Source organism: Homo sapiens, chromosome 19 (genome assembly GCF_000001405.40).
Source record: "Homo sapiens chromosome 19, GRCh38.p14 Primary Assembly".
Lineage (NCBI taxonomy): Eukaryota > Metazoa > Chordata > Mammalia > Primates > Hominidae > Homo > Homo sapiens.
Window position 1 is genome coordinate 46040086 of NC_000019.10, and position 19795 is coordinate 46059880.

Here is a 19795-nt window from a genome sequence, read left to right on the forward strand (position 1 = left end):
TGGGACATGGACAACCAAGCTCCATTCCCTACTCCCCCCTCCCACAGCCTGGACTGGAGTCAGATCCTTACCTGGGCACAGATCCTGGTGATAGGGGAGGACTTGCAATCTGGCTTCATGCCTGGGACCTTGAACCTCACAACTGTCTGGTTCTGAGAGCCCAAAGACTCCAGGCAGCAGTGCTGGAAGCAGGGCCAGAAGGTGCAGCTGGAGCCGCAGAGCCGGGTCTGGTTCAAGTCTAGGATGACACCGTCATCACAGCACTGCTCCAAGGGGTTGTAGGTCCACTCCCCGCACCTGGGCGCTGGCTGGCATAGCCACAGTCTAAGATCTGGAAGAGTCGGGGCTGGATGGGCTGCAAGGACCAGCCTAGGACCACCTCCCCACCAACCTTAATGCTGTTCTCTCCTCCCTCACTGCATCTGTTCTCACCTGTGACTCCTTCTGAGTTTGAACCCAAAAGTTCAAAAATGAAGATGGCAGCTGAGAAGCAGAAGGAGAGCGAGAATGATTCTGAGGTCACTAGGTCTTGACCACGGGGCACAGGATGATGTCTCTGAGCTTCTCTGGTTGCTGTTAACAGCTCAGAGTGGATTTTGGGACTGGCTGTGGGTGCAGGTCCTGGGGACTGGGCTTGGCAGGTGAGGAAAGGCAGGGAGGGCTCTGGGAAAAGTTAAGCTTCTGGAATTTGCAGTTCAGGAGACAGATTACAATGCAGTCACAGATGACATAGCAGTGATTATGAGGTGGGACACCAATAATTAAATAGGGAAGAGAGAATTAACTTTGAAGTTCAGAAATAATTAGGGATGTGATATCATTAGGGATTAGCTTAGCCTAGGGCTGGGGTCTCCTTACCAGAAATTCTGGGCACCATGGGTTAGGCTTCAGAGCAGCGGACGAGGGAGCAGCAGTGGAAATGGGTCAGTGACTTTACATAGGGGCTTATATAGGATATGAACTTACCGCCATTTAGGGAGGTGTGCAGAAGGAGTGGTTTCTTGGGAAGAGTTAGGCAAAAAGAGCTGCAGGGAACATAAATAATTCATCAAAAGCTTAATGAGATGCTTCTGGACCTGTTCCAAGTGGTTGCTGCCTCCTCAGACCCTTCAGATCCTCAGGGTAAAGGCTACCCAGGAACCTATCTAAGCTTTGACTCTGCTGAGTGTCTTTCTTTGAACACCGCCCAAGGGAAAACCACTTGGAAGATATTCCTTAACTCTTGCTTATCTAAGATCAAATTACTCACCAAACACCGGCTGTCTCTAGGCTCCCCATATTCCTCCACCCTGAAGTTTCAAGGAGTCCCTCTACTCCCCGTCTCAGTTCACCTGCAGACCTGCACTGTCTATAATTTTTCAGAGTCACGTAGGAGAATTTGTGAAGTTGCAGCATAATCTAGAAGAACAGCAGGGGCTGCAAAACTGTGCCAGGGAGAACAACAACAACAAAAATAGGCGGTGGTAGGATGGATCTCTGGGATTCCAGATAGGAAAGCAGCACCTTTTTTTTTTTTTTGGTTTGTGGAGTGCCTTGTCCAAGAAAATGCTCCTGTGTGTCTCACTGTGTGATGGGATTACATGTGGCGTATTTTTAGAGCATGCCCCTCCATTTTCCACTGGTTTCTTCCCTGTGTCACAGTGAGAAGGGTGGGAGGGTGAAAGAAGGATAAGGCACAGGTATTAGAGCTTTGTAAAAGTGCATTGTTAGTATAGACTCTCTAGAGTCTCTTCCTCCTCCCTCCTCTCTCTCTTTTTTTTTTTTTTTTTTTGAGACACCGTATCTCTCTGTCTCCCAGGCTGGAGGGCAGTGGTGCTATCTTTGCTCACTGTAACCTTTGCCCCCCAAGTTGAAGCCATCCTCCCACCTCAGCCTCTTGAGTAGCTGGGACTACAGGCAGGCACCTCCTGGCCTGGCTAATTTTTTTGTATTTTTCATAGAGTTAGGGTCCTACAATGTTCTGGTCTTGGAATCCTGAGCTCAAGCAATCCACCTGCCCCAGCCTCCCAAAGTGCATTGATTTTGTTGTTGTTGTGCTTATTTGCACTCCAGCCTGGCCTCTCCTTTCTTGACTGGATGTCCAAGTCTTCGGTATTGATTTCATGCAATAAACTAGCTCTCCTCGCCTATTTCTGCAGTTGCGTATTTGCATAGATATGTCTGTTTGTCTGCTTATCAATATGCCTTCTCCTTTCCCACACATCCAAACAGAAATCCCACCTGTAAAGACACATTCTCTCACCTACACAGAACAGCTGCTGCGGAAACAGACCTATAAGAACTACATTCCTGTTTATCAAGTTAAGTAGTGTGAATACCGCATTATAACTCCGAGCCAGCAACCAAGAAATTTATGACCACTTGAAAGGGAAAGCTGCAATGAAGAGTACAAGTGACTAAGGAGGGAAATCCCAAAGCTGATTACTAGAATTGATCTCTGTATAATTGAACTATCTATGTAGAAAATCCCACGGAACCCACTGTCAAGCAAGAGGTGAGTCTGACAGATTCTGTTAGTGACAAAAACAAGCTCTTTTTAGATTCAGACACTTTATTACTTACACAGACAGGGAAAGAAAGAGCCACAGGTGCCAGCACCATGTCCCTTATACAGGGTGACACTGAAACAAAAGGGCCAGATGACTGAACAAGAATAATAGGATGCCTGTTGCTGAGTAGAGAATCCAGCCTGTGGCTCCATGGTATAGGGAGGTAGAAAGCCTCATCCCTCCCTAGAAGCCAGAGGCAGTGAGAAGCTGTGTCATGGCGGCCTCCCTTATCCATAGGGAAGTGAGTGACAAGTGATGCTGTAGCAGCTTCCCACAAGCCTCCCATGACCTCACGTTCTGGGAAGACCAGAGAGTGTTCTGCCATGACATACATCAGCTACAGTTAATTTCACCAACGTGGCCCACGTGGAGATGTTTGAGGTCGCCGGGGCAGTAGGGCAGAGCCATTACCGTAAACCTACCCCCAAAGCTCCGGGAACTAATAAGTAAATTTAGATGGTTGTAGAATACAAAGTCAACACACAAAAATCAATTGTATTTCTCGCTCCTGGAATAAGTGGAAACAAAAATTTAGAGGGGAACAATGCCATTTATAATGCCCCCCTACTGAAATTGAATACTTAGGTATACTGTAAATCTAGGAGAACATGTAGAGGATATATATGCTTAAAACTATAAACTAGTGATTAAAGTAATCAAGGAAAACCTAAATATAGAGTGGTATATCATGTCATAGTTTAGAATATGGGGCTTTTTAGCTAAGATGTCAATTCTCTCCAAATTGTCTACAGATTTAACACAATTCCAATGAAAACCCAAGCAGGATTTGTCTCAGATAGAAGCAAAATAATTCTAGAATTTATCTGGAAAGGCAGTGGAAACAAGAATGGCCCAAACAATTTTGGTTGATGAAAAATGTTGGAGGACTCACACTACCCAATTTCACAATTACTCCAGCTACACTAATGAAGACAGTATAGTATTGGCAAGTGGAGAGATACATAGATCAATGGAGCAGAACAGATTTCAGAAATAAACCCAAACAAACATGGCAAATTGACTTTTGACAAAGATGCAAAAGCAATTCAATGTGGGAAAAGATAGTCATTTCAACAAATGGTGTGGGACAATGGGCATGCATATGAAAAAAAAAATCTTCTACCAAAGCTTACACTTCCTACAAAATTTAACTCCAAAATGATCTAGATATAAAAAGTTAAACTATACATTTTCTAGAAGAAAACATAAAAAAAATCCTTATGACTTAGGGAAAAGATACAAAAAACATTGTCCATTTAAAAAATGGATAGATCAGGAAGCGGGCAAGATGGCTGACTAGAAGCAGCTGTGGTCCACCGCACTCACAGAGAGGAATGAAAGGAGTGAGTGAATTCAGCATCTTCAACTGAAATATACAGGTTGTCACTCTCAACCCATGGAGAACGAAGAAATGCAGGGTAGGGTGATGGTCCACCCAGGAGCAGTGTGGAGGTATGGGGACTCCTGCCCCCAGCCAAGTGAAGCAGTGAGTGATTGTGCAACCCTGCCTGGGAAACCATGCTTCTCCCATGGATATTTGCAACCTTAGGATCAAGAGATCCCCACATAAGCCCACGCCCAGAGATTTGGGTCCAATACACAGAGCTGTGTGGAGTCTTGGCAGAGCGGCCACAGGGGCACTCACAGAGACCCAGGAGTTTTACGTACTCTGGCCCTGGGATCTGCAGCAAGGGAGGACATCCCTCCATACATATTTCTATGAAGGGGGCTGAATCCAGAGAACCAAGCAGTGTCATTCTGTGGACCCCACTTCCACAGCACCTCACAAGTTAAGACCCAGTGGCTTGGAATTCCAGCCAGCCAACAGCAACAGGCCGGAGTCTGCCTGGGTCAGGACCAAGTTCCTGGGGTGGGGGTGTCGTGGGGGCAGTCACCATCTCTGTGGTTCAGTAGACTCAGCCATTCTAGCCTGCCAGCTTTGGAGAATACAAATGGTCCAGATGAGGAAGGGTTCCCCACAACACAGCACATCTGCCTTGCCAGATTGTAGCTAGACTGCTTCTTTAAGTGGTTCCCTGACCCCATTCCTCCTGACTGGGTGAGACCTCCTAACAAGGGTCTCCAGCCACCTCCTACAGGGACGTTTGGGTCAACAACTGGTCAGAGGAAGGAGCAGGCTGCCATCTTTGCTGTTTTGCAGCCTTCACTGGTGACACCTTCAGGTACGGGAAAAACGGAGGCAACCAGGGTCTTGAACAAACCCCCAGCACACCACAGCAGCCCTGTGGAATAGTGGCCTGACTGTTAAAAGAAAAACAAACAGAAAACACCAACAACATCAGCAAAAAAGACCCCACAGAAACCTCATTCAAAGGTCAGCAACTTCAAAAATCAAAGGTAAACCCACACAGATGAGAAAGAATCAATGCAAAAATGCTGAAAACTCAAAAAGCCAGAGTGCTTCTTCTCTTCCAAATGACCACAGTACCTCTCCAGCAAGGGCACAGAACTGGGCTGAGACCGAGATGGCTGAATTAACAGAAGTAGTTTTAAGAAGGTGGGTAATAGGCCAGGCGCAGTGGCTCACACCTTTAATCCCAGCACTTTGGGAGGCCGAGGCAGGTGGATCACGAGGTCAGGAGTTAGAGACCAGCCTGACCAACATGGTGAAACCCCCTCTCTACTAAAAATACAAAAGTTAGCTGGGCATGGTGGCACATGCCTATAATCCCAGATGCTGAGGAGGCTGAGGCAGGAGAATCGCTTGAACCCGGGAGGCAGAGGTTACAGTGAGCTGAGATCGCGCCACTGCACTCCAGCCTGGGTGACAAGAGTGAAACTCTGTCTCAAAAAAAAAAAAGAAAAAGATGGGTAATAATGAACTTCACTGAGCTAAAGGAGGATGTTGTATCCCATTGCAAATAAGCTAAGAATCATGATAAATTATACAGGAGCTGACAGAATAGCCAGTTTAGAGAGGAACATAACTGACCCAATGGAACTGGAAAACACAAGAACTTCACAATGCAATCATAAGTATCAGTTACAGAATAGTTCAAGCAGAGGAAAGAATTTCAGAGCTTAAAGACCGTCCTTCTGAAATTATACAGGCAGACAAGAATAGAGAAAAAAGAACAAAAAGAACTGAACAAAACCTCTGAGAAATATGTAAAGAGACAGAATCTATGACTGATTGGGGTACCTGAAAGAGACAGGGAAATTGGAACCAAGTTGGAAAACATACTCCAGGATATCATCCAGGAGAACTTCCCCAAACTTGCAAGACAGGCCAACATTCAAATTCAGTAAATACAGAGAACCCCAGTGAGATACTCCATAAGAAGATTTACCCCAAGACATATAATCAGCAGATTCTTCATTGTCGAAATGAAAGAAAAAATGTTAAGGGCAGCCAGAGAGAAAGGCCAGGTAACCTACAAAGAAAAGCCCATCAGACTACCAGCGGACCTCTCAGTGGAAATCCTACAAGCCAGAAGAGATTGGGGGCCAATATTCAACATTCTTAAAAGAATTTCCAACCCAGGATTTCATATCCAGCCAAACTAAGCTTCATAAGTGGAGAAATAAGGTCCTTTTCAGACAAGCAAATGCTGTGGGAATTCGTCACCACCAAGCCTGCCTTGCAAGAGCTCCTGAAGGAAGCAATAAATATGGAAAGGGAAAACCTTTACCAGCCACTACAAAAACACACTGAAATACACAGACAAGTAACACTATGAAGCAACCAACAAAACAAGTCTGTAAAATAACCAGCTAGCATCATGATGACAGGAACAAATTCACACATAACAATACTAACCTTAAATGTAAGTGGGCTAAATTCCTGAATTAAAAGACACAGAATGGCAAGTTGGATAAAGAGCCAAGACCCATTGATATACTGTCTTCGAGAGACCCATCTCACATGTGGGACACACATAGGCTCAAAATAAAGGGATGGAGGAGAAATTTATCAAGGAAATGGAAAACAGAAAAAAGCATGGGTTGCAACCCTAGTTTCTGACCAAACAGACTTTAAACCAACAAAAATCCAGAAAGACAAAGAAGGGTGTTACATAATGGTAAAGGGATCAATTGGACAAGAAGAGCTAAGTATCCTAAATATATATGCATCCAATACAGGAGAACCCAGATTCATAAAGCAAGTTCTTACAGATCTACAAGAGACTTAAGACTCCCACACAACAATAGTGGAATACTTTAACACCCACTGTCAATATTAGATCATCGAGACAGAAAATTAACAAAGATATTCAGGACCTGAACTCAGCTCTGGATCAAGTGGACCTGATAGATATCTACAGAACTCTCTACCCCAAACAACAGAATATACATTCTTCTCATTGCCACATGGCACTCACTCTAAAATTGATCACAAAATCAGAAGTAAAACACTCCTCGCAAAAGCAAAAGAACTGAAGTCATAACAAACAGTCTCTCAGACCACAGCACAACAAATTAGAAATCAAGATTTAAAAATTCACTCAAAACCACACAACTACATGGAAACTGAACAATCTGCTCCTGAATAACTCTTGGGTAAATAATGAAATCAAGGCAGAAAGCAAGAAATTCTTGAAACTAATGAGAACTAAGAGACAATGTACCCGATTCTCTGGGACACAGCTCAAGTGGTGTTAAGAGGGAAATTTATAGCAATAAATAACCCACATCAGAAAGCTAGAAAGATCTCAAGTTAACAACCTAACATCTCAACTAAAAGAACTAGAGAACCAAGAGCAAACCAACCCCAAAGCTAGCAGAAAACAAGAAATAACCAAGATAAGTTATTGGTTAACAGAAATAAGCAATAACTGAAGGAGATAGAAACACAAAAAGCCCTTCAAAAAATTAATGAATCCAGGAGCTGTTTTTTTGAAAAAATTTATAAAATAGATAGACTGCTAGCCAGACTAATGAAGAAGAAAAGAGAGAATAATCAAATAAACATAATCAGAAATGACAAGGGAGATATTACCACTGACCCCACGGAAATATAAACAAACATCACAGAATACTATAAACACCTTTATGCACATAAACTAGAAAATCTAGAAGAAATGGATACATCCCTAGACACATACACCCTCCCAAGACTAAACCAAGAAGAAACTGAATCCCTGAATAGACCAATTATGATTTCCGAAATTGGGGGGTAATAAATAGCCTACCAACCAAAAAAAGCCCAAAGTTGGAAGCATTCACAGCTGAATTCTACCAGAAGTACAAAGATCTGGTACAATTTCTACGGAAACTATTCCAAAAAATTGAAAGTGAGGGATTCCTCCCTAATTCATCCTATGAGCCCAGCATCATCCTGATACCAAAACCTGGCAGAGATACAACAAAATAAGAAAACTTCAGGCCAATATCCTTGATGAACATCAATGCAAAAAACCTCAGTAAAATACTGGCAAACCAAATCCAGCAGCACAGCAAAAAGCTTATCCACCATGACCACATTGGCTTCATCCCTGGGATGCAAGGTTGGTTCAACATACGCAAAGCAACAAATGTGATTCATCGTATAAACAGAACTAAAAACAAAACACACATGATTATCTCAATAGATGCAGAAAAGGCTTTTGATAAAATTTAAACATCCCTTTATGTTAAAAACTCTCAATAAACTAAGTATTGAAGGACCGTACCTCAAAATAATAGAAGCCATATATGACAAACTCACAGCCAATATCATACTGAATGGGTAAAAGCTTGAAGCATTCCCCTTGAAAACTGGCACAAGACAAAAATGCCCTCTCTCACCACTCCTATTCAACATAGTATTGGAAGTTCTGGCCAGGGCAATTAGGCTAGAGAAAGAAATAAAGCGTATTCAAATAGGAAGAGAGGAAGTCAAATTATCTTGTTTGCAGATACATAATCCTATATCTAGAAAAACCTCATCATCTCAGCCCAAAAGCTTCTTAAGGTGATAAGCAACTTCAGCAGTCTCAGGATACCAAATCAATGAGCAAAAATTGCTAGCATTCCTATACACCAACAACAGGCAAGCAGAGAGCCAAATCACGAATGAACTCTCATTCACAATTGCTACAAAAAGAATAAAATACCTAAGAATACAGCTAACAAGGAAAGTGAAGGACCTCTTCAAGGAGAACTACAAATCACTGCTCAAAAAAAATCAGATAGGACACAAATAAATGGAAAAACACTCTATGCTCATGGATGTGAAGAATGAATACTGTGAAAATGGCCATACTGCTCAAAGTAACTTATAGATTCAATGCTATTCCCATTAAACTACTATTGACATTCTTCACATAATTAGAAAAAACTATTTTAAAATTCATATGGAACCAAAAAAGAGCCCAAATAGCCAAGACAATCCTAAGCAAAAAAGAACAAAGCCAGAGGCATCACATTACCTCACTTCAAACTATCCTACAAGGCTACAGTAACCAAAACAGCATGGTACTGGTATAAGAACAGACACATAGGTTGATCAATGCCTCCTGGTCTCTGATGGCCATGGCTGGGAATCTCTCTGTACAAAAAGATGACAGATAGGAGGCAGGACTAACTTGCAGCTCCCACTTGGAGGGACAGAGAAGCATGTGGAGACCCACATCATGAAATTTTTCTCCAAGAACAACCACAGGAACATACCAGGAAAGCTGAGAGAATCCAGAGACCCTTTAAAGGAGGTGGATTGCTGCTGCAGATTATGTGGGACAATCAAGAAACTGTGAGTTTGCTTGCTTTCTCAGCTGGGAGGCTTGTAGCCTGGGGCAAGTTCTCAGTCCTGCTCACTGGCTGCCTGGAAATAAACTTGGTGCTGTTAGGGGGGCATAGTGGGAGTGAGACTGGCCTTTTGGGTTGTGGGCTGCATGGGAGCTGGGTGAGGTCTGTGATTGCTGGTTTTCCCTCACTTCCCTGGTGACCTATGTGATGCAGCAGAGATAGCCATAATTCCCCTGGGAACATAACTCCATTGTCCTGGGAACCACACCCCCATCCCCTATAGCAGCCACAGCAAGTCCCCGCCAAGGAGATTCTGAGCTCAGACATGCCTAATGCTGCCCCCACCTGATTTTCTCTATCGGCCCTGGGAGCAGAAGACAAAGGACACAGTCTCTTGGGAGCTCTATAGCCCTGCCCATCACCTGAGAAACCTGAATACTCATTCAAAGGTGACCCTAGGGCAAGTTTGTATCCTCCCCACACAACCACAGCTGACGCGCTCTTAAAAGCGCCACCTCCTGGCTGGAGGCCAACCAACACAAACCAGTGCACTTAACACACATACAGCCAAGGACCCTCACAGAGTCCACTTCACTCCCCTGCTACCTCCACCAGGGTAGGTGCTGGTATCCACGGTTGAGAGACCTAAAGACGGATCACATCATGGGACTCTTCGCAGACACTCCCCAGTACCAGCCTGGAGTCCTGTAGCTCCACTGAGTGGCTGGATCCAGAAGAGAAATAACAATCACTGCAGTTCAGCTCTCAGGAAGCCCCATCCCTAGGGGAAAGGGGAGAGGACCACATCAAGGAAGCACCCCTCTGGGACAAAAGAATCTGAACATCAGCCCTTCAGCCTCAGATCTTCCCTCTGACATAGTCTGCCCAAACGAGAAAGGAACAGAAAAATAATTTTGGTAAATATGATAAAACAAACCTCTTTAACACCCCCGAAAGATCACACTAGCTCACCAGCAATGGATCCAAACCAAGATGAAATCTCTGAATTGCCAGAAAAAGAATTCAGAAGATCGATTATGAAGCCAACCAAGGAGGCACCAGAGAAAGGTGAAGTCCAACTTAAAGAAATAAAAAAAGATACAGGATATGAATGGAAAAATCTCCAGTGAAATAGATATCATAAATAAAAAACAATCACAGCTTCTTGAAATCCAGGACAAACTTAGAGAAATGCAAAATGCACTGGAAAGTCTCAGCGATAGAATCAAACAAGTAGAAGAAAGAACCTCAGAGCTTGAAGACAAGGCTTTCAAACTAACCCAATCCAACAGAGACAAAGAAAAAAGAATTTTAAAAAATGAACAAAGTCTCCTAGAAGTTTGGGATTATATTAAACGTCCCAACCTAAGAATAGTTGGTGGTCCGGAGGAAGAAGAGAAATCTAAAAGTTTTGAAAACATATTTGAGGGAATAATTGAGAAAAACTTCCCTGGCCTTGCTAGAGATTTAGACGTTCAAATACAAGAAGCTCAACGGACACCTGGGAAACTCATCACAAAAAGATCATCACCCAGGCACATAGTCACCAGGTTATCTAAAGAAAAGATGAAGGAAAGAATCTTAAGTCCTGTGAGGCAAAAGCATCAGGTAACCTATAAAGGAAAACCTGTCAGATTAATAGCAGATTTCTCAGCAGAAACCCTACAAATTAGAAGGGATTGAGGTCCTATCTTTAGTCTCCTTAAACAACGCAATTATCAGCCAAGAATTTTTCATTCAGTGAAGCTAAGCCTCATAAATGAAGGAAAGATACAGTCTTTTTCAGGCAAACAAATGCTGAGAAAATTCACTACTACCAAGCCAGCACTACAAGAACTGCTAAAAGGAGGTCTAAATCTTGAAACAAATCCTCAAAATACACCAAAATAGAATCTCCTTAAAGCACAAATCTTACAGGACCTATAAAACAATAACACAATGAGCTGGGCACAGCGGCTCACACCTGTAATCCCAGCACTTTGGGAGGCCAAGGCGGGTGGATCACCTGAGGTCAGGAGTTTGAGACCAGCTTGGCCAACATGGTGAAACCCTGTCTCTACTAAAATACAAAAATCAGGTGGGCGTGGTGGCAGGTACCTGTAAATCCCAGCTACTCAGGAGGCTGAGACAGGAGAATCACTTGCACCCGGGAGGCAGAGGTTGCAGTGAGCCGAGATCGTGCCGCTGCACTCCAACCTGGGTGACGGAGTGAGACTTTGTCTCAAAAAACAAAACAAAACAAAACAAAACCAAAAAATAATAACACATGATGAACATGTAGTATTGAGATGTGAGAATAGTACCTCACATCTCAATACTAATGTTAAATGTCAGTGGCCTAAATGCTCCACTTAAAAGACACAGAATGGCAGAATGCATAAGAGCTCACCAACCAAGTGCGTGGCTGTCTTCAAGTGACTCACCTGACACACAAGGACTCACATAAACTTAAGGTAAATGGGTGGAAAAAGATATCCCATGCAAATGGACACCAAAAGGGAGCAGGAGTAGCTATTCTTATATTAGACAAAACAAACTTCAAAGCCACAGCAGTTAAAAAAGACAAAAAGGGATATTATATAATGATAAAAGAACTAGTCTAACAAAAAAATCACAGTTCTAAATATACATGCACCTAACACTGGAGCTCCCAAATTTATAAAACAATTAGTACTAGATGTAAATACTGAGATAGACAGCAACACAGTAATAGTGCAGGACTTCAATAATCCATTGATAGCACTAGACAGGTCATCAAGGCAGAAGGTCAACAAAGAAACAATGGACTTAAGCTATACCCTAGAACAAATGGACTTAACAGATATTTACACAACATTCTATGCAACGACTGCAGGGTATACATTCTATTCAGCACAGGGAACGTTCAGAATTAGCTTAGACCATAAGATAGGCCACAAAACAGGTATAATAGATCTCAATAAATTTAAAAAAATCAAAATTATATCAAATACTCTCTCAGACCACAGTGGAATAAAATTGGAAATCAACTCCAAAAGGAACCTTCAAAACCATGCAAATACATGGAAATTAAATAACCTGCTCCTGAGTGATCATTGGGACAACAATTAAAGATAGAAATTGAAAAATTCTTTGACCTGAATGATAATTGTGACACAACCTGTCAAAACCTCTGGGATACAACAAAAGCAGTGTAGCATTAAATACCTACATCAAAAAAGTCTGAGCCTGGCCAACATGGTGAAACCCCATCTCTACTAAAAATACAAAAATTAGCTGGGTGTGGTGGCATGTGCCTGTAATCCCAGCTACTCGGGAGACTGAGGCAGGAGAATCACTTGAACCCAGGAGTCGGAGGTTGCAGAGAGCCGAGATTGCGCCATTGCACTCCAGCCTGGGCGACAACAGTGAAACTCCGTCAAAAAAAAAAAAAAGTATATTAATCCCAGCCTAAAAAGGCAGAAATATCAATTGCTTTGCAGACATGAAAACTATTAACACATACTTAAAATGTACATTACATGTTTTATTCCCTAGAATTCTACAGGTATTTATATGTTATCTCGTTTTTTTTTTTTTTTTGGAAATGCTTGCTACTCTGTATCAGCAAACATCCCAGGGCTCGAAGTAGTGGGAATTGAAAAGCTTTGGGAGAAGTCAGAAAAGAAAAAAAAAAAAAAAAAGCAGGAGGAACCCTCGGTGGAAAGTATGCATAGACAGTAAACATGCCAACGGAGGCCCATCTGTTTCTGTACCCTTTATGCAACATGTCTGTATAATTGGGGATAGGCAAGTTGTATAATTGGGGTTGGCTAATAATAACAATTATTTGAAGTGGGGAATATTAGTCACTTACACTGCAATATAGCCAGGGTATCTGTGTTACTTCACTTGGTTCTGATTTAAATGATCTGTTTTGTTTTGTTTTGTTTGAGACGTTGTCTCACTGTGTCACCCAGGCTGAAGTGCAGTGGCATGATCTCAGCTCACTGCAACCTCCACCTCCCAGGTTCGAGTGATTCTCCTGCCTCATTCTCCCGAGTAGCTGGGATTACAGGCACCCACCACCACGCCTGGCTAACTTTTGTATTTTTAGTAGAGCCGGGGTTTTACCATGTTGGCCAGGGTGGTCTGGAACTCCTGGCCTCGAGTGATCCCACCTACCTCAGCCCCACAAAGTGCTGGGATTATATACCATATTTTCTTTATTCATTCGTCTGCTGTTGGACACGTAGGTTGATTCCATATCTTGGTTATTGTGAATACTACTGCAATAAACATGGAGGTGCAGATGTCTCTTAGATATACTGATTTCCTTTTTTGTGTGTGATAAATGCCCAGTAGTAGGATTGCTGGATGATATAGTGGTTGTTTTTATAGTTTTTAAAGAACCTCCATACTGTTCTACATAGTGGTGGTATTAATTTACATTCTAATCAACAATGTGTAAGAGTTCCCTTTTCTCTGCATCCTTGCCAGCATTATTTTTTATCTTTTTGATAATAGCTAACCTAACTCAGGTGAGATGATACCTCATTATGGTTTTAATTTGCATTTCCCTGATGATTAGTGATGTTGAGTAGTTTTTTCATATATCTGTTGCCCACTTTTATGTCTTCTTTTGAGAAATGTCTGTTCAGATCATTTGCCCATTTTAAAATCACCTTGTTTGTTTTTGCTATTGAGATGTTTGAGTTTTTTGTATATTCTGGATATTAATGCCTAGTCAGATGAATAGTTTTCAAATATTCTTCCATTCTATAAGTCATGTTTTCACTCTGTTGTTTGTTGTGCAGAGCTTTTTATTTTGATATAATCCCATTTATTTATTTTTGCTTTCATTGCCTGTGCTTTTGAGGTTTTATTCATAAGATATTTTCTCAGACTAATATCCTGAAGCATTTTCCCTGTTTTCTACTATAAGTTTTGTAGTTTCAGGTTTTACATGTAAATCTTTGAATCATTTTGAGTTTATTTTTGTATAGGGTGATCCATGGGAGTCTAGTTTCATTGTTCTACATATGGATATTCAGTCTCCCCAGCAGTATGTATTAAAGAGACTGTCCTTTCCCCAATGAGTGTTCCTGGCACCTTTGTCAAAATCAGTTGGCTATAGATACTTGGATTAATTTTCAGGTTTTCTGTTCTGTTCCATTGGTCTCTGTGTCTATTTTTATGCCAGTGCCATGCTATTTTGGTTACGACAGCTTCGTAGTATATTTTGAGGTCTGGTAGTGTGATGCTTCCAGCTTTGTTCTTTTTACTCAAGATTGCTTTGGCTTTTTCAGGTCTCTTGTGGTGTACTTTCATATCTCTACTTTCTCAATAATACCTCAAAAGCCATTTTTTTTCATATGATGCCCACACCAAAGAATAAACAAAGACATAAATACCTCAAGGACCTAATACCTAAAAAATTGAGCCTCTGTAATCTCAAAGAGAAAGTAAGAACCTGAGGGTTCCAAGGGAAGATGAATGTGAGGAAAACAGTGAGTAGCCTAGAGATAAAGGAATAGAAGATCTATAGTCTTCAAAGTTGGAAGATAAAGGAAGATGGCCTTCTGTCTTCAAGAACAAAATTTGAAATGGAGGGAATCAGCCCTGGAGCTATTGCTGATGTGTTTGCCAAATCAATACATCCCTTTATCATCCTTCAGTATGGGTATTTATAGGGCCACTTGAAGAGAGCCTATAGCCAACTTGGACATCTTTGGTGTCTTGGTGACTAAGGAGGGAAACCCAGTTTCTCTCAAAAGGGAAATGAAGAGAACTGCTGTATATGTCCCCTATGAACCATGGGAGCAGTAAGTAAAACTTGGTAAAGGTCATCAAATTAGTTCTGCCAGGCTCTCACCTGTGACTGTGAAGGCACCTCATGTAAAGTAACATGCCTTCCTGGGAATGGCATTTGATAACAGCAGATTTGTTCTCAGTAATATGTTTTCTTTTCATTTCATTTCTTTTCTGTTCTTTTCCAGATAGGGTCTCACTGTGTTGCCCAGGCTGGCCTCTAACTTCAGGAGTTCAACAGTTTCTCCTGCTTCAGCTTCCTGGGTAGCCAGGACAGGTGTGTGCCACCAGGCTAATCTTCAGTAACGTGTTTTCTTTGATCTATCATTGCATGTTTTGTTAGCCTCCCATGGCTGGATTGAATCTTGAATACCTCCCATGATCTTATCACACCCATCTTAACTAGAATATTTCCATTCAACATTGTGGCCACAAATTTTCCAATCTTTTGAAATGAGGTCAAAGCTCTTCATTTGAATTTGCTTATTAGTGTTTACCTATATTGAAAAAAAACTACATCATTAATTGCATCCTTCAGTTCTGGTCCTTATAAGTGGAAAGAGAGCTTTAGAGATACTTGGAAAGATCAGAATGTAGAATCATAGATATTTACACTTTGTTCTCAATATTTTACAGCTGAATGGTAAAAATTTAATTTGACAGCAAAAAGTTTTGTGAGAGCTCAGTTTAATTTTTTTTTTTGACGAAGTCTTACTCATTCTGTTGCCCAGGCTGGAGTGCAGTGGCATGATCTTGGCTCACTGCAGGCTCCACCTGCTGGGTTTAAGTGATTCTCCCGCCTCAGCCTCCCGAGTAGCTAGGATTACAGGTGCCCACCACCGTGCCCAGCTAATTTTTGTATTTTTAGTAGAGACAGGGTTTCACCATGTTGGCCAGGCTGATCTCAAACTCCTGACCTCAAGTGATTGGCCTGCCTCAGCCTTCCAAAGCGCTGGCATTACAGGCGTGAGCCACCATACCCAGCCCAATTTAGTTTTTATATAAAGGTGGCATAAATGGTAACACCATCTTTCAACCTTGAACTTTCCAAATGCAATCAATAGGACTTGCAGAAGTAATAGGGAATATTAACTAAACTAAGGCTGTGCTACACCATGTGGTTTAACTTTAGATTAATTGAAATTAAATAACATGAAAAATTCAGTTCCTCAGCTGCACTGTTCACATCTCATGTGCTCAATTGCCATATTGTCTAGTGGTTACAACATTAGACATCTCAGATACAGAACATTCTGATCATTGCCGAAAGTTCCATTGGACAGCTAATTAGAGTCCCTTATATGAAGTTCACCTCAGGAGGCTCATACTGGAATTAAGAGGCATTTCAATTATTCTCCAATTCCATCTTGTACTGCATCAATGTGCCCCAGCAAGGATCTCCTCCACTCGCTCCCTATGTATCCAGGGATCCCCTGGAGTTTTAGTGTCTGCTGTGACATTCTGGAGATGCCTCCTGATGAATTGGAAAAATACTGACATGGGTGAGGTCTGGTGGTCAAGAATTGTTGGATGCTTGCCAGCCCATGAATACACAATGGATACACAGAGAGACGAGGAGGAGTCAGGAATCAAAGGCAATGAAATATTTCCACTTAGGGCTGCAAGCCCGTCCAGGCAAGTCCTCCCTTTGAGCTGGAATTCTTTTTACATCTACCCAGCCACAGAAGACAGAAATGGAGCCCATTACGTCATTTCTCAACTTGCTATTCCTCCAGCATATTCCTTGCATAAGACTCCCTGTAGGATCTCACCGAAGGAGGACACAAATTCCTGAAACCTTTGACCTGACCCTCTTCTCTCCCTATACACCCCAGTCACTCACTTTTGATCATGTGCACCCTCTTTGTCTTAGGCTTCAGAGTCCCAAAGGCTGTTATTTTCTTCCTTTCTGGACAATAAGGTAGAAAAATTTGAAAATATGTGAAGATCTCCAAGGATTTGATACAAATGACCAAAAGTACATCTGAATATGAGAACTTTGACTTTTCTTTCAACTTATGTAGTAATAAGTACCCATTAAAAATGTTAAAGAATCAGTCTCAACATATTAAAAACCTTGAGACTTAAATATAGAAAATAAGAAATACTTCTTCTACTATTTTCTTATGTTTTTTTCTTGTGGGGCAGGGAGGTAGTGGACTCTTAAGCTTAGGAGTCTAGAGAGGGCAAGAGAGGCTCATTTTTAGAGTAAAAATATTAACCACATTTTTCCTCAGGGCTGAGGAAAGAATACACCAAAATATAGCTGTGGTTTATAACTGGATTTGAGTTGGCTGTGAAGGGGAATTTGAAACTTTTTGTATCCAGAAACATCAATGGATACGATTTTAGTTCCCCATAAATCAGCCGTGCTAACATTCATGTATAATAATAATTATTATTTTTTAAAGTGAAAGCAAGTTTATTAAGAAAGTGAAGGAATAAAAGAATGGCTACTCCATAGGCAGAGCAGCCCTAAGGGCTGCTGGTTGCCCATTTTTATGGTTATTTCTTGATTATAAGATAAACAAAGTATACTAGTCTGCTCTCATGCTGCCAATAAAGACACACTCAAGACTGGGTAATTGATAGAGGAAAGAGGTTTAATTGACTCACAGTTTCACCTGGTTGAGGAGGCCTCACAATCATGGAGGAAGGCAAGGAGGAGCAAAGCCACATCTTACATAGTGGCAGGCAAAGAGAGAGCTTGTGCAAGGGAACTCTCATTTATAAAACCATCAGAACTCTTGAGATTTATTCACTACCATGAGAACAGCATGGGAAAGACCCGTCCCCATGATTTAATTACCTCCCACTGCATCCCTCCCATGACAGGCGGGAATTATGGGAGCTACAATTCAAGATGAGATTTGGGTAGGGACACAGCCAAACCATATCATTCTGCCCCCAACCCCTCCCAAATTTCATGTTCTCACATTTTAAAACCAATCATACCTTCCCCACAGTCCCCCAAATTCTTAACTCATTTCAGCATAAACTTAAAAGTCCATAGTCCAAAGTCTCATTTAAGACAAGGTGAGTTCCTTCCACCTAGGAGCCTGTAAAATCAAAAGCAACTTAGTTACTTCCCAGATACAATGGGGGTACAGGTATCGGGTAAATACACCCATTCCAAATGTGACAGACTGGCCAAGATGGAGGGGCTACAGGCCCCATGCAAGTTAGAAATCCAGCAGGGCAGCCAAATCTTAAAGCTCTGAAATTATCTCCATGGACACCATTTCTCACATCCAAGTTATGCTGCAAGAGGTGGGTTCCCATGGTCTTGGGCAGCTCTGCCTCTGTGTCTTTGTGGCTGCTTTCACTCCTGGTGTTGAGTGTCTATGGCTCTTCCAGGTGCACAGTGTAAGCTGTTGGTGGATCTACCATTCTGGGGTCTGGAGGACGCTGGCCCTCTCCTCACAGCCCCACTAGGCGGTGCCTCAGTGGGGACTCTGTGTGGGGTTTCAAGCCCACATTTCCCTTCTTCATTGCCCTAGCAAAGGTTCTCCATGAGGGCGCTGTTCCTGAAGCAAACTTCTGACTGGACATCCAGGCATTTCTCTACATCCTCTGAAATCTAGGCGGAGGTTCCCAAACCTCAATTCTTGACCTCTGTGCACCCGCAGGCTCAACACCATGTGGATGCTGCCTAGGCTTGGAGCTTGCACCCTTTCAAGCCATGGCCCCAGCTGTACCTTGGCCCCTTTTATCCATGGCTAGAGCAACTGGGATGCAGGATATCAAGTCCCTAGGCTACACACAGCCAAATCATATCACAAGGGGTGGATTATTCATGAATTTTCCAGGAAGAGTGGGCAATTCCCAGAACTGGGGGTTCCTCCCCTTTTTAGACTATATAGGGTAATTTTCTGATGTTGCTATGGAATTTGTAAACTGTTTTGGTGTGGGTAGGAGTGTCTTTTAGCATGCTAATGCACTGTAATTAGCATATAATGAGCAGTGAGGACAATTAGAAGTCACTTTTGTTGCTATCTTGGTTTTGGCCGGCTTTTCTTACTACAACCTGTTTTATCGGCAAGGTCTTTATAAGCTGTATCTTGTTCTGACCTCCTATCTCATCCGGTGAGTTAGAATGCCTTAACCATCTGGGAATGCAACCCAGCAGTTCTCAGCCTTGTTTTACCCAGACCCTATTCAAGGTGGAGTTGTTCTGATTCAAATGTCTCTGACATTTCCCCCCTCCCTTTTACAAGGCAACTCTTAATCCTAAGGGTTGTGGAAGGATGAAGATCCATATTCTGTAACTTCTTCAGGCTGAATAGGGGCAATGCTTTCCTGCCTAACTGTTAGGGTCTCTTGTATTCAGGGTAGAGAGGAGCTCAGAAAGCATAATTATGGTGAGGGTCACTTGTAACTCCGAGTTCTGACAAAAGGTGGTATCTGTCTTGTTTATTCTGAACTGCAACCAGAGATCACTGGTTGGCTCACAGGAATAAGCAGTCAGTCTAAATTGCAGAAGAAAACCCTCAAAAACAACTGATGAGATTAGAATCTAATAACAGGTGTACCATAGTTCTTGAAACATAATTTTTCTCTCTCCAGTCTCCCATTTTTTACTAAAGACAAATCATGGCAAAACCAATTTGCTTTATTATACTTGGCCTAATTATTTGTATAAAGTGCAGCAATAATAATTATTTTTCACAGAGGCTTTTAAAATTGACTTTGATGGAACTGTGTTTCATAAAATGAATCTCAGATAAGACTTTTTAAAAGCTGAGCCCAGCCGTGAGTTTGCACCCTCAAATACCTGAGTTGGGTAAATT

The 19795-nt window shown here is 42.1% G+C and overlaps 1 protein-coding gene across 7 annotated transcripts in view; it reads right to left on the minus strand.

Moving 5' to 3' along the window:
* Nucleotides 1-19795, minus strand: part of IGFL4 (IGF like family member 4) — a 38448-nt gene that overhangs the window by 904 nt on the left and 17749 nt on the right. The window contains exons 3-5 of one of the 7 annotated variants that reach the window (NR_163177.1): nucleotides 967-1025; nucleotides 433-483; nucleotides 72-331 (exon numbers count right to left, since the gene is read on the minus strand). Coding sequence is in view for 2 of the 7 variants with exons in the window: in XM_047438851.1 (XP_047294807.1) it covers nucleotides 72-331; nucleotides 433-483; nucleotides 859-877 (330 nt within the window). In the remaining 5 variants the exon portion in view is untranslated. Of the gene's footprint in view, nucleotides 1-71; nucleotides 332-432; nucleotides 682-858; nucleotides 1026-17587; nucleotides 18065-19795 lie in introns of those variants that run through there. The other 6 variants (NR_163175.1, NR_163176.1, XM_047438851.1 and 3 more) reach the window with 6 other exon arrangements.